The 13,279-nt window shown below is 45.0% G+C and overlaps 1 long non-coding RNA gene across 3 annotated transcripts; it reads left to right on the forward strand.

The window, feature by feature from the left end:
• Window positions 1-708: 708 nt before the first annotated feature.
• Window positions 709-6,862, forward strand: LINC02914 (long intergenic non-protein coding RNA 2914). 3 transcript variants are annotated; one of them, NR_161367.1, is made up of 5 exons: window positions 709-882; window positions 1,422-1,591; window positions 4,097-4,228; window positions 5,213-5,486; window positions 6,192-6,862. It is a non-coding gene; the product is annotated as a long intergenic non-protein coding RNA 2914 (long non-coding RNA). The 3 variants fall into 3 exon arrangements; NR_161368.1 differs by lacking the exon at window positions 4,097-4,228; NR_161369.1 differs by lacking the exons at window positions 1,422-1,591; window positions 4,097-4,228.
• The last annotated feature ends 6,417 nt before the right edge of the window (window positions 6,863-13,279 follow it).

Below are 13,279 nucleotides of genomic sequence, written 5' to 3' on the forward strand. Positions count from 1 at the left end.
TTTTCTCTTTGTACTGCTATGGTCTTGGAGGTTTCATCTGTCCAGAACATCTTTAAAGGTACTTTTGTGATTTTCAAAAATTTATTTTTCTTTTTTTTTTTTTTTTTTTGAGACGGAGTCTTGCTCTGTCACCCAGGCTGGAGTGCAGTGGCGCGATCTCGGCTCACTGCAAGCTCCGCCTCCTGGGTTCACGCCATTCTGCCTCAGCCTCCCGAGTAGCTGGGACTACAGGTGCCTGCCACCAAACCCGGCTAATATTTTTTGTATTTTTAGTAGAGACACGGTTTCACCGTGTTAGCCAGGATGGTCTCGATCTCCTGACCTCGTGATCCGCCCTCCTTGGCCTCCCAAAGTGCTGGGATTACAGGCGTGAGCCACTGCGCCCACGCAAAAAATGTATTTTTATATATGGAATTTATCACTGCCTTCCCTAACTTTCTGTTATTATTTCAAGACTTCTTTTCCTCCAGAGCCTTCTTTCCTCCTGCCATGGTTGCTTTCTCTCCTTTCTTTCAGGATATTAAAAAATGTTTCACGTGTCTTTTCAGATTCTCTAAGTTCCCTTCTTTTCACCAGTTATATAGTCCTCTGTGCTGTGTTTTTGTTTGTCTCACTTGGGCTCTGTCTTCCTCCAGTGTTGTGTAATTCTTAGTTGTGAGGTCATCACCACCCTGGGTGATTTCCTTTCTTTGAATTCCAGGAACCCCCAAGATGCATTATCATGGCTGTAAACACAGGTTCTGCACGTGTCTAAGTTCAGCCCCAAACCCACATGAAGAACTTATTTCCAGACAGCTCCTACTCTTATGGTGGCTCCAGACCCTGCCCCATGCAGAAGGCACTTCTCAAGTTCCAGGACCAGGGCTTCAGCCACAGCACTCGGTAGGCAGACACAGAGCTGATACAGACTCTAGAAATGAGTGGGGGGTAGATTTTCAGTCCCCACTGCAGGTTTGCGGTCCTTTGCCACACCTAGATTGCCAGATGTGGTCCCCTGCCCCTCCTAGGACCTGAAACCCTCGACACAGCCTTGTGCATGGCTCTCAGCTCTTTTCCCGGCACCCTCTTGGGCCCTAGTGATTCAGCCCCTAGTAACCATCCCAAGCACCCTCCTTTTCAGGAAATATTTCCATTTCTGGTATCTGTAGATTGCCCATTCTTGTTTCAGGGCCCTGCTATGTAATTAGTATGGCTTACTAATATTATTCCTATCTTCCTTATGTGTTCAGAGAAGTGGGGGAAAGTTGTAGTATTTATTTGGTGCACCATTCTAAACTAAAATTCTCACTGCTTTTTGAATACAATGGAGTAATCATATCCATCTCTCAAGATGGCTTTAAGAACCATATGAGATAAATGCTTTGGAATCCATAAAGTGTCTAAAATATAACAAATATTCATTATTCCGTTTTACATTGCAGCAAAACCCCACAGATACAGTGCCAATGACAGAAATTAAGATTAACTGGGGGCGACACAGATTTCTGTGAATGCCAGTGCTGTCAGATGCTTCCTGATAGTACTTTCTAGAGTAAAAGAACTTCGGGAAAAGTAAAAGCAGCAAATGGTAACACCCTCATGGAGATCTCAGGTACATACCCGTGCATTACAGGATGCAAGAGGCCCTGCTATAAAGGCACTAACCTTACTTTGTTTAGTCATATTTCCAAAACACATTGATCATGAAAGCCTCTTTATGATGTGCAAGAATGAGCAAATCGGGGACTTATTAAAGAGTCTTGATTTTCTGAAAGACTGAATTATAGAAGAGTTCTAAATGGGGCTTTACTGAGGCACAATACAAGCGATAGACCTCACTCAAAGGCAGTCTCAAAATATCATATGAAGTGGTATATTGAAATAATTGCAATCCAAAATATTAGGTTGGTGCAAAAGTAATTGTGGTTTTCACCATTAAAAGAATGGCAAAATCACGATTACTTTTGCACCAACCTAGTAGCTCACTTTATTTAATAATGCGTCATAAGTAAGAACTTGTTTTACACTTAGGAATGACTTGAAGAATCAGTAAGTTGAAAGCCTACTATGGGAATTCTTATTGAGACTAGGGCCCTAAGATGAGCTACGTAGAATGAGCTAGTATTATAGATATGAGTATGAATAGTAATTCCAACTTCACTTAGCCTCAGTGTTATCTTCTATAAAATGAGAATGATTTTATTCTCACATACCAACCACTATGGCAAGTCACAAATATTTGGTCACTGAATAAATAAATGCATGTTTCCTTTTGCTGTGGCCACAGCACCCACCCCAGTGTAAAGAGTCTATTGAATGTGGCTGGGGGGCCATGGGTCATGGGAGCCTGTAATCCCAGCACTTTGAGAGTCCGAGGCAGGAGGATCCCTTGAGCTCAGGAGTTGGAGACCAGCCTGGACAACCGAGCAAAATTCCTTCTCTACAAGAAATACAAAAATTAGCCAGACATGGTGGTGCACTCCTATAATCCCAGCTACTTGGGAGGCTGAGGTGGGAGGACTGCTTGAGCCCAAGAGGTGGAGGTTGCAACCAGCCAAGATTGTGCCACTGTACTCCAGCCTGGATGACAGAACCAGACCCTGTATCAAATAATAATAATAATAATTTTATTTAAAAAGAATCAGCTGGGCTTGGTGGCTCATGCCTGTAATCCTAGCACTTTGGGAGGCCCAGGCAGGTGGATCACTTCAGGCCAGGAGTTCGAGACCAGACTTGCTAACACAGTGAAACCCCATCTCTACTAAAAATGCCAAAAAATAGCTGGGCGTGGTGGTGCATAACTGTAATCCCAGCTACTTGGGAAGCTGAGACACAAGAATCACTTAAACCCAGGAGGCAGAGTTTGCCATGAGCCGAGATTGCACCACTGCACTCCAGCCTAGGTGACAGAGCAAGACTCTGCTTCAAAAAAAAAAAAAGAAAGAAAGAAAAGAAAAAAAAGATTCTATTGAATGAGAACTGTGGGCATCATCCTGCAAAGTTATAACTATTAGTAGTAAAAGAAATAGTTTCTAAACCCATATTATGCCTTAAATCATACTAACAATTCTAGCTGATCTACCACAGATTTTTACAGCTAGAAGTAATCTAATGGGTCACTTAATTAAAGCCCCTAAATTTTGGATAAAGAGCCTGAGGTTCAGCGACAACCTAGGACTTGTTACAGGCGGTGGCAGGTGACAATGAGAACCTCATCTTGCTGGCTCCCCACCTAATGATTTTGCAGGACTCCACGATGCCTCTCTTTGGGTGAAACAAAAGTTTATTCGAGTTCAGGCAAGAAATCTAGGGTTTGAAAAAGGCAAGAGTGGCCGGGCGCGGTGGCTCACACCTGTAATCCCAGCACTTTGGGAGGCCGAGGAGGGCAGATCACGAGGTCAGGAGATCGAGACCACCCTGGCTAACACGGTGAAACCCCGTCTCTACTAAAAATACAAAAAATTAGCCAGGCATGGTGGCAGGCACCTATAGTCCCAGCTACTCGGGAGGCTGAGGCAGGAGAATGGTGTGAACCCAGGAGGCGGAGCTTGCAGTGAGCCGAGATCGCGCCACTGTACTCCAGCCTGGGCGATAGAGCAAGACTCCGTCCCAAAAAAAAAAAAAAGCAAGAGTTTCAACATTTTTTATTTCCTTGAGTAGATCTTAAAACACAAAAGAGAAGCATGAATCATATTCCACCTTTATTTACAACATCTTGTGTCTTCCAATTTCTACAAATAATTGAGAGTTCTGCAGCATTGAGAATGGTCAGCAAAAAGGGCAAATTTTTGCTCCATATCAAATGCTGCTGCCCCTTAACTAGGTGCCTGTCTGGAAGGCTGGCCCAGGAGTTCCCCACGCTGGTCCCAAGGAGGGGCACAAGCTCAGGGTTTGTTTCTGCCACCTGGAAGGCAATCGTCAGAGCCTGCCATGTGTGCATGTGGATGCCTCTGTGTATTTTTAGAACGTTTTTAAAAGGGAGGCAGCCAAAATATTTTTACTACACAGCAGGCACTGTTTCATGTTGGAGTGTTGGAAAGAAAAGCAAGAGAAAGAAAAGACAGGGAGGAGAAGATTTAAGACCAGCGCACAGATTGAAATGGTTAATGCCTTCTAGGGCTGCAGAACAAGCACTTTGAGTGCTGAAGACTTCTCCCATCTCCACGTCCCTAACTGTCCCCATGCAGATTCCAGGATCCACACATCAGAGGCATCTGCCACTGAGCTGGGTGTGAAATCTGAAGACCAGGTAGGGCTCAAATGCAAGACGATACTGGGAAGAGCATTTCAACCAAGGCAGGGGGAGAGCAAAGCCATGCGGCATGTGGGTTGGAATGTCATGTGGAAAGTCACAAGGGATGAGGTTTGGAAAGCAAACCGGGTCTCAGCTGGGGACAGACTCTAAAGCAGGCTCTGGGGTGTGGACACTGCCCATGGACAAAACAGTTATGATGAAATTTCATATTTTGAATAGCTCTGTGTATCTCAGAGTGCATTTTCATACCTCAAAGTCATTAGGTCCCCAAATAACCTCCTGGGTTTGCCCTGTTAACTCTATTGCACAGAGGAAGAGACTGAGGTTCAAGAGGATCACACAGCTAATAAGTATCAGAGTTGGGAATTGAATCCAGATCTTCTTAGACTACCTTCAGGGTGCCTTTTTTGCACACAGGGTGGCTTAAAGATTTTTAAGCAGGGTAGAGACAGGATGTGAGACCTTGGGTGGAATCAGGGTGAGACATTGAGGCTGGGCGAGAAGGTCAATATGAAGAATCGTCTAGAGCAGGCATCTGCAAACAGTATCTGTAAAGGGCTTTGCAGTTGGTCGTTGTTGCATATTCTTCTTTATTTTTGTCATGTGGTTGGTTTTTAACAACTCTTTAGAAATGTAGAAATATTCTTAGCTCAAGGGCTATGAAAACAGACTAAGGGCTGGATTTGACCACAGGCTGTCATGTGCTGACCCCTGCTCTAGAGCCTGGATGTAGGCAGCCATTCAGAAGGCTGTCAAATTACCCCACGTGAGGAGCAGGAAGGGCCCAGGCTGAGATGGAGAAGAAAGATCGAGAGCCCATTCTACAAGGAGCCTGCACGAGTTAGGGGCTGGTGGGGAGGTGCAGCAGGTGAGGGGCCCTTGGAGGAGCCGGTCCCTCCACAGTGCCTGCAACAGGCTGGGGGCCCAGCCCAACACTAGCTCCTCACTGAGCACCCCCTCCATGTCTTTCTTAACCAGGGTGTAGAGGCAAGCACTGAAGGCCCATGATCAGCCGTGGGAGCCACGGGAATCAATTGCTTCCAGTACGACTGGATGCATCGGAAAGAGCCTGGGGCAAGGCTGGAGGCCACAAGAGGAGCTGCCAGGCCACATAAGCAGGGAACAAAGCCGATGATCACACGCCCATCAGTGAGCCAACTTGGTGAAGGGAAATGCCCAAGTTCTCAGCACCTGCAGAGCCTAAGACATAACAAGCAGCATGCCCTGACGCTCACCAAGGCCAGGTGCTGTGGTAAGTATTTCCCATACATTGCCTTGCTTGTTAAAATTTCACTATATTCCTACATGGGACTAACTATGGCTTAGAAAGGCAACCACTGTGGTAGAGAGTGACAGAGACTTGCCAACTCTGCTGTCCCACAGCCTTTTCCCAGGAGTGGAGCCTCGGACAACAGGCTTACTCCACCCAGCCTCCTTTTCTGCCCCTGTAAAATCAAGACCATCATTGCAAAGTGAGGGAAAGGGGAAGAGTCAGCCAAACACTCCAACCAGCACCTGGCACCAGGTACATGATTGACGTTTGCAAGGATGTCATCGGGGTTCTTGTCCCGTATCACACAGCTAGCAAAGAGTAGAGCCACGACCTGAATCCTGATAAATCATTAATTGATCATAGGAAAAAAATGGACAATTCTAGGTTTCTAGATTTCCTCTATGGAAAATGAAGCTATGAGTCCTTTTGATCTTCAAGAGAGGATAAAATGAGATAAGCATTTGATAGAGCAATTTACCATAGCAAGGAGTGCTTCTGCCTGGTTCAAAGATGACTGTAGCATGTACCTGGGGGCAGGAGTGAGGTCACTGTCAGAGAGGAGCTGGCCCCTACGGATGCTAGAGGCAATGTGCACTTGGCAGAGAGGGAGGCGGGGAGGACGGTGAATATCCACAAGAGGCTTCCCTGTGTCCAGCACCAATGCATGTTTCAATCCCCCTCCAGGTGAGTGCTCTACCTGTTTCTGTACAGAAGAGAAATCAGAATGCCAGAGACATGAAGAAACTTCTCCAGGGTCATGTAATCACCAAATAATGTCTGCTTCGACCATCTCTGCATTTTGTGCTACACCAAGATTTAAGCAGCTGTTCAAAGGAACTGTAGAACAGATGTCACAGATGTAACTATTCTTGAAAGGAAGTCAGATTTCATAGATGGAAAGACTGCCCTTTTCCATTTGCCTCCTCCAGACCCATAACTTTGGATAGGGGGGTTTTATTGTCCGTGAGGCTTATGCATATGTCAGAAGAATGTCCAAGCAGAGGAATCTAAGTGGCAGACCCCCCAGGATAGGAAAGAAGAAGGACGCTCGTGCTGACACTTCCAGAACACTCTTCACGTTTTGTGACATATGTGCTTGTCGAGTGATCTTAAGACAGCTGGATGTCCGAACCATGCAGTAATAGCAGAGAACCTGCGGAAGGAGAAGCTTCCCAGGACGTTCTGAGGGCTTATGCCGGGTGCAGGCTTTCCTTCCCGCAACATCCCTGAGTCCAGAGAAGAAATAATCCCCTGCCCTGTGGGCCAAGCACTTACAGCAACAGCACTTTGAGTTTGCTGTGCTTAGATTCACTTGTGGAACTTGTTAAAAATATAAAATTCCAGACCCCACCTCCCAGGAATTCCCCAACTTTGCGTTTTTCTAAGGCTTACTGCCCAAGTGATTTGGAGCACATTTGAAGAGACATTGTCTCGGGACTCCATCGCATCCTAGAACTCATTAAACAATTGCAAGTGCCTAAAGAGCTCCTAAGAAAGAGTGGGGGGTGGTGTGGAAGTGTAGAACAAAGGGATGTATCAAGGGTAGGAAGTCGCAGAAACATCTTATGAGAAGGTCTCATTTCAGCTGACTCCTGAGCCAGGAACTGGGAACAGTCAGGGGAGAGTCTTCCAGGCAGTGGAGAGTCTGGTCCAGCGCAGGTTTGGAAGCAAAGGGGATCACAGCATATTAGAGAACCTGAAGGAACATAAAGTCGACTGAGTGCGGTGGTAATCCCAGTGCTTTGGGAGGCCGAGGTGGGCGGATCACCTGAGGTCAGGAGTTCAAGACCTGCTGTGCCAAAATGGGGAAACTACGTCTCTACTAAAAATACAAAAATTAGCCAGGCATGGTGTTGGGCACCTGTAATCCCAGGTACTCAGGAGCCTGACGCAGGGAGAATTGCTTGAACCTAAGAGGTGGAGGTTGCAGTGAGCTGAGATCGCACCACTGCACTCCAGCCTGGGTGACAGAGCAAGACTCCATCTCCAAAGAAAAGAAAAAATATATATAAAGTCTAGTGTGGAAAGGGCAGGAAGAGAAACTGGAGACATACCAGGGATGGAGGCAGGGGTCTGAACAGGGAGGCACCTTGGAAGCTGGTTAAGACATTGGATTCTATGCCGAAGTCCGTGGGAAGCCGCAGGAGTTTTGAGCAGGGGGATTACATGACCAGGCTTGTGTATTTAGTTATTCTCCATACTTTGTGGGATGTGGCTGGGGAAACGCGGCGTTCCACTGAAAGGCTTCCTGCCACAGTCACCCAGGTGAGAGAAGAGAGTGGTTTTAAATAGGATGGGCAGTAGAAACGGACAGAATAAACAGACATGAAGGTTATCTAGGAGGTAAAGTCCACGGGATGTGGGAGAAGTTTGTGTGCAGGAGAGGAAGGTGTCAACATGGCCTCTCAGCTATTTAACCTGTGCCGCAGTTATGTCACTGGGGACATTTACCCAGATGAGGAGTACAGGGGTAGACCAGGTGTGAGCACCACCAAGTCCAGACCAGGACCTCTCACTGCTGCCTCCTCCAAATCCTACAAAAGGCCCAGCACATGGGAGAGGCTGAACATGACTGTGAGAATGGTAAAGAAGAATCCAGAGATATGTGTAGGTAATGTTGCATTTGCGACCCCTGTGACATACCGTAGTGAAAATGTCAGGTGGAAGAGGTGTCTGGACAGGGGTACCTGGGTTACCTGTCTGTCCCAGAAGAGAGGGCTGGGGGGAGCTACAGGTCCCTTGGAGTCATCAGGATACATAGACGGTAACCTAAACCATGGAAGCACTTGAGATAATGAGGGAGTGTTTTGACTAAACTGTAGAGAGGAAGGGAAAAGAAGGGGAGGAGAAGGAAGAGGAAAGGAGGGGAGAGGAGGCCAGGGAAGGGAGGAGAAGAGAGCATAGACTCAGAGTTGAAAAAGCCAGAGATGGAGAATAAGCCTGGGAGGGAACAGAGAGTAAACAAACCAAATTCAAGGTGAGACTGGATCTTGGGACCCAAGAGAAGCCCAATTATCAGAACTGGACTCCATATCAAGATAAACCACAAAAAACTCTGTCAAGTTTGCATCTGGATGAAGCTACTATTTATTATAGAGCATCATCTACATTTTCCCTTAACTTTGCACATTGGAAAGGGCTAAGGGTAATTTATAGACGACCTACATGGTGCCAGGCACTTTAATAAATGTTATCTGTAAGTGAAACTTTGCAAGCCACTGTGCTAAGCATTTCACAACATTATCTGATTTAATCCTCACAGTCCTCCTGTATGGTGGGTATTATTATCCTCACTTTTCAGAGAAGGATGCAAAATGCGAGAGCGTTTAAGAGACTTGCCCAAGCTCACACAGCCGAGTGTTCCAGCCACAATTTCAACCTGGTTCCCCAGGTCCTTCACAACATGTCTGTCTTTGCAAATGTTTGTGAACAATAGAAAAGGAAAAATTTCCAATGATTAGAAAAAGAGAAACTCAACAGTGCAAAGGCAAAGTGTTCATTCTTTTGTGGATGAAGAAATGGAGCCTTCGAAAGCCCGTCCCTTTCTCCCACAGGTTGATATGAGCTCAGCCCTGCCAGGACCCCAAGTCTTCCTTCCTGGGCCTCTTCTGAGATCTGCATAATGCCTGCTCGGCTACCTGAGAGCTTTCTCTGCCTGATTTATGGGTGTGTTTCTTGTGCTTAGATCATAAATCTCCACCCCCAGGACATTTCAGTTCTGGTATTTATTGACCAAAGACATCTTGTGTTAAAAAATGTTTGAGATTTTGCCAGCTAATCACTATAGAATATTTAAGAAAACACCGTATCCTCTGGTAAATGAAATTCCACAAGTAGTTGATTTTGCTGCTGAGGCAAAATATCTTCCCTGTCTACTATTTTTCAACCTTGTTTTATTTTGTTTTGTTTTAATAGAACAGGCAGATTTTTCCTATGTGTCTCTTTACCTCCTCCCGAACTCATCAAGGGAGAACGGAGAAGAGGAATTGTCAAAAGACATTTCCCTTGGGGCCTAGAAGACTTTTTGATTCTTTTGAACCAGAACTTTTGGCCAAGTGCATCTCAGAAGCATTCAGGTGGCAAAACACCTGGAGAAGAACTGTGAAAGATAGATGCCTTCGATGTAAAAAAAAAAAAACCCAAAGATGTAAATGTGAGCCCAATCTGCTGCTGACGGCAGATTCTAGTATAGACAAGCTTAAGACTTTAAAGAACATTATTGGAGAAAACGTTCAGAAAACTCATCAATAAGCTTTGCTTAGCATGAGCACATGTGTGTCCTTGTGCATGGCTGTGAAGACTTGGAAAATACTGTCAATGGTCCATGTTAATGATGCTTTATCCACTTTAAAGAAAAATAGTGTTTCTACCTGGAACATAGTTGATAACCATTGCTTTAGATAAAGGTTTCAAAAATTCTCAAGGCTACAGGACTCAGGAAGGTAAGAGAGGTAGGGTTGGTATAAGAAAATACAGAAATCATTAAGAGTCACCCTAGGACTTTGGGGACTTGGAGAACAGGTGTCTCTTTTCAGAGACAGCCACCTATTAGGTCCAGGGGTCTCCAACCCTGTTGACATGTGAACTCAAGCTTTGTCAGATCTTCTGGTCTCTCAGTAGAAGCAGAAAATTCTCATTTTAATGTGGCGAATCCAAATGTTAAATGTTTATTACTAATTACAAAAAAAAAAAAAAAAAAAAAAAACAGTGTGAAGGCCAAACAAAACACATCTGCAAGCCAGACCTTACAGAGCCTACTGGCTCTGGCTGTGGCCAAGGTCAGACTATGATTGGCTGCGGAATCATGGTTCATTACTAGCAGTTGCTGCTTTGCAGAGTGAGAGGTTGGTCCTTGACTTTCTATAATTATTCAGATTGAGTGCTTGTGGTTTGTTCAGAAACCTGAAGCTTTATGAAAGCAAAAGAGGAACACTGGAGTTCAGTCTCTGCTACCTGCCTCCTTTCTGCTGGTACCCTAAAGCCTGCACTCCTCCACAGGGGCTGCCCTGACTTTTGCTTTGCTTTGGTGTTAGGTTTTATGTTTGCTCCCCTTATGATGATAATGATAACAACAGTAGCAGGTTCATTGAACACCCGTCACCTGTGAGTTGTTATGTTTGGTTCTTCTCCCCATCATCTCATCCAGTCTTCACTTAAGATTAATGTTAAGGTTACCTTCCTTCCACAGATGGTGATATGATTTGGCTGTGTCCCCACTCAAATCTCATCTTGAATTGTAGCTCCCATAATCTCCACGTGTTGTGGGAGAGACCCAGTGGGAGGTTATAGAATCATGGAGGTGGGACAGGTCTTTCCTGTGCTGGTCTCATGATATGAATTAGTCTCACAAGACCTGATGGTTTTATAAAGGAGAGTTTCCCTGTGCACGATCTCTTGCCTGCTGCCATGTAAGACATGACTTTGCTTCTCCTTGCCTTCTGCCATGATTGAGGCCTCCCCAGCCTTGCTGAACTGTGAGGCAATTAAACCTCTTTTCTTTATAAATTATCCAGTCTTGGGTATGTCTTTATTAGCAGCATGAGAATGGACTAATACAGATGGGAAGCTCAGACAGGTTGAGATGCCTGCCCAAATCCACTCACCTGGTGAGTGGCAGATCCAAGATTCAAAGCCACCTTTGTCTTTCTTCAGGGTCCATCCTCAGGTCCTGCCATACTGCCTGTCTCTGCACACAGCTGTGCTACTTTTAACCAGCTTCCCACTGCACCTGCCTGGGCTCCACAAGTCCCCTGCAGCCCAAATGGCCTCTGTGCACTCGGGTCTCCAGCCTCAAGGCTCCTCACTGTTCTTAGCTTTTAGTTTTCTGCCCCAGAACGGGTGACTTGCATCAGCCCTGCCCTTGATGGGCATGAGGCATCCCCCATTTCTGTGTGATATATCCTCATTTGGGGGGCAGAGGATGCGTCCCTTGAATTCTCTTGTAGTTCACAGAATGAGGCCCTTTGATCAGTTGTATGAGGTTCTCCACCAACTATCTCTGTGACTTTGCATTGCTATTCTTCTAATGGTAGAAGCTGAACCTTAGGACCCAGATTTAGACAATTCTCTGTCCTTCATTTCCCACCCAATCTAATCACTTTCCAAACCCTGTGGATTTCTCCCTGCACATCTCTGACACCTAGCAGCTTCTCTCTAGGACCACTCAGCAGCCCTGGCTCCTGTTACCTTTTGCCTGGCATGTCCAAGTTGTCTATCTTGTCTCTGTTCATCTAATCTTGACCACTTCCAACACATTCACCATACAGCAGCCATCATGACGATTAAAGTCTGATCAGGACTCTGCTCTATATACAATACGTCCATGGCTCCCTACTGGTCTGAAGGTAAAAATCTCAGCCTCCACTCTCTGCAAAAGCTGATTCCTACCTACCTCTCTCTTGACTTTCTCAGATTTCAGTTCAAAGGCCACTTCCTTCACTACCACACTAACTCAGGATGTCTTTGTTAGCTACTACTGAAGTTCTTGGACTTATTCTTTGTGGAATCAATCGCCCCTTTAATTAAATAACTGATTGCATAACTGGGATAATGTCTGCCTCCCTTACAAAAATGTAAGTTTCACAAGGAAATGAATGGAGTTGTTTACTGTTAGATTCTTAGTGCATGCAAAGTGTCTGCAGAGAAAAGAAAATGAGGAAAAAGGAATTCCTTCTTCATGATACGAATGAGAAGTATAAAGTCCTTTTATGAAAAGTGAATTGTTTCACTTGTTCACTTGATGCTTGACAGATGTTGGCAAGCAGCAAACATGGCTTCTGGAACCTCGTAGATGCTTACAGATGAGAGCTATTCTTGTTTTGACCCCAGATCCATTGCTTCATTAAATCACAGGCATAGGCTCAACTCACTGCATTTCTCTTCTTTGCAAGTGTGATGGTATCATTATATACATAAGCCCCATGTCCAGAATCATCTTTCCAACCAAATGCTAGTGACATTTTGAGATTTGGAATCTTAATCTTTGGAAGGTAATATCAGTTCCTTCATTTGGGGCATTTTTTAAATTTGGATTTCATTTGATAACCATCATGAAATCCATTCCCCTAAAGATGGGGACATCATCCATTGGGCACAATATACCATCTCTTCCCAGAGCATGCCCATCAAAGGGTGTTGGGAGGAACCAGCAGGCAGTGTGTGTTGTATCACCTGCCACATGGCTTGATGCATGCTTCTCATCACCCTACTTTTTTCAAATTAATAAATGAGTGATGAGAAGGTACACAGGACTTTTCAGGGAGGCAAAGAAAACCAATTAGGATGTGCTCAACTCTGGCTAGTTCCACACATTGAAGACTCTAAATGAGGTCAAAGAAAAGATAACCCGAAAAATAAGCTTCCATAGTGATGCTTTTTCATGCCATGATAGTCATCCCTCCTTTCATACTATAGAATTGTCTGAGCTGCTGTGACCCCTGAAAGAAGAGGGGGATCAGGATCAATTCTCACCAAGGCTGACTGGAGACACCTTGTTTGTTCCTTTGTAGTTAAGGATAGTGCACTGCCTCATATGCAAAGTGGGCTGTGGTCATGAACATCCATGGAGTGGGAAGAGGCTCAAGCTCCCATTATATGGCTTTAGTATGCATAAGAAGCTATTGTTTAAAAGAAAAGTCTTCTTTTTCAAAGTACTATTTGTTGGAGGCTCAATAGGTATTGAGTGCTATGCTAAAAGCTTTACATGCATCATTTATTTAATTCTTTTTTTCAGAATAATATTTTTATTTATTTCTTTTTCCCCTCCAACTTCT

This window comes from Homo sapiens, chromosome 14 (assembly GCF_000001405.40).
Source record: "Homo sapiens chromosome 14, GRCh38.p14 Primary Assembly".
Classification (NCBI taxonomy): domain Eukaryota; kingdom Metazoa; phylum Chordata; class Mammalia; order Primates; family Hominidae; genus Homo; species Homo sapiens.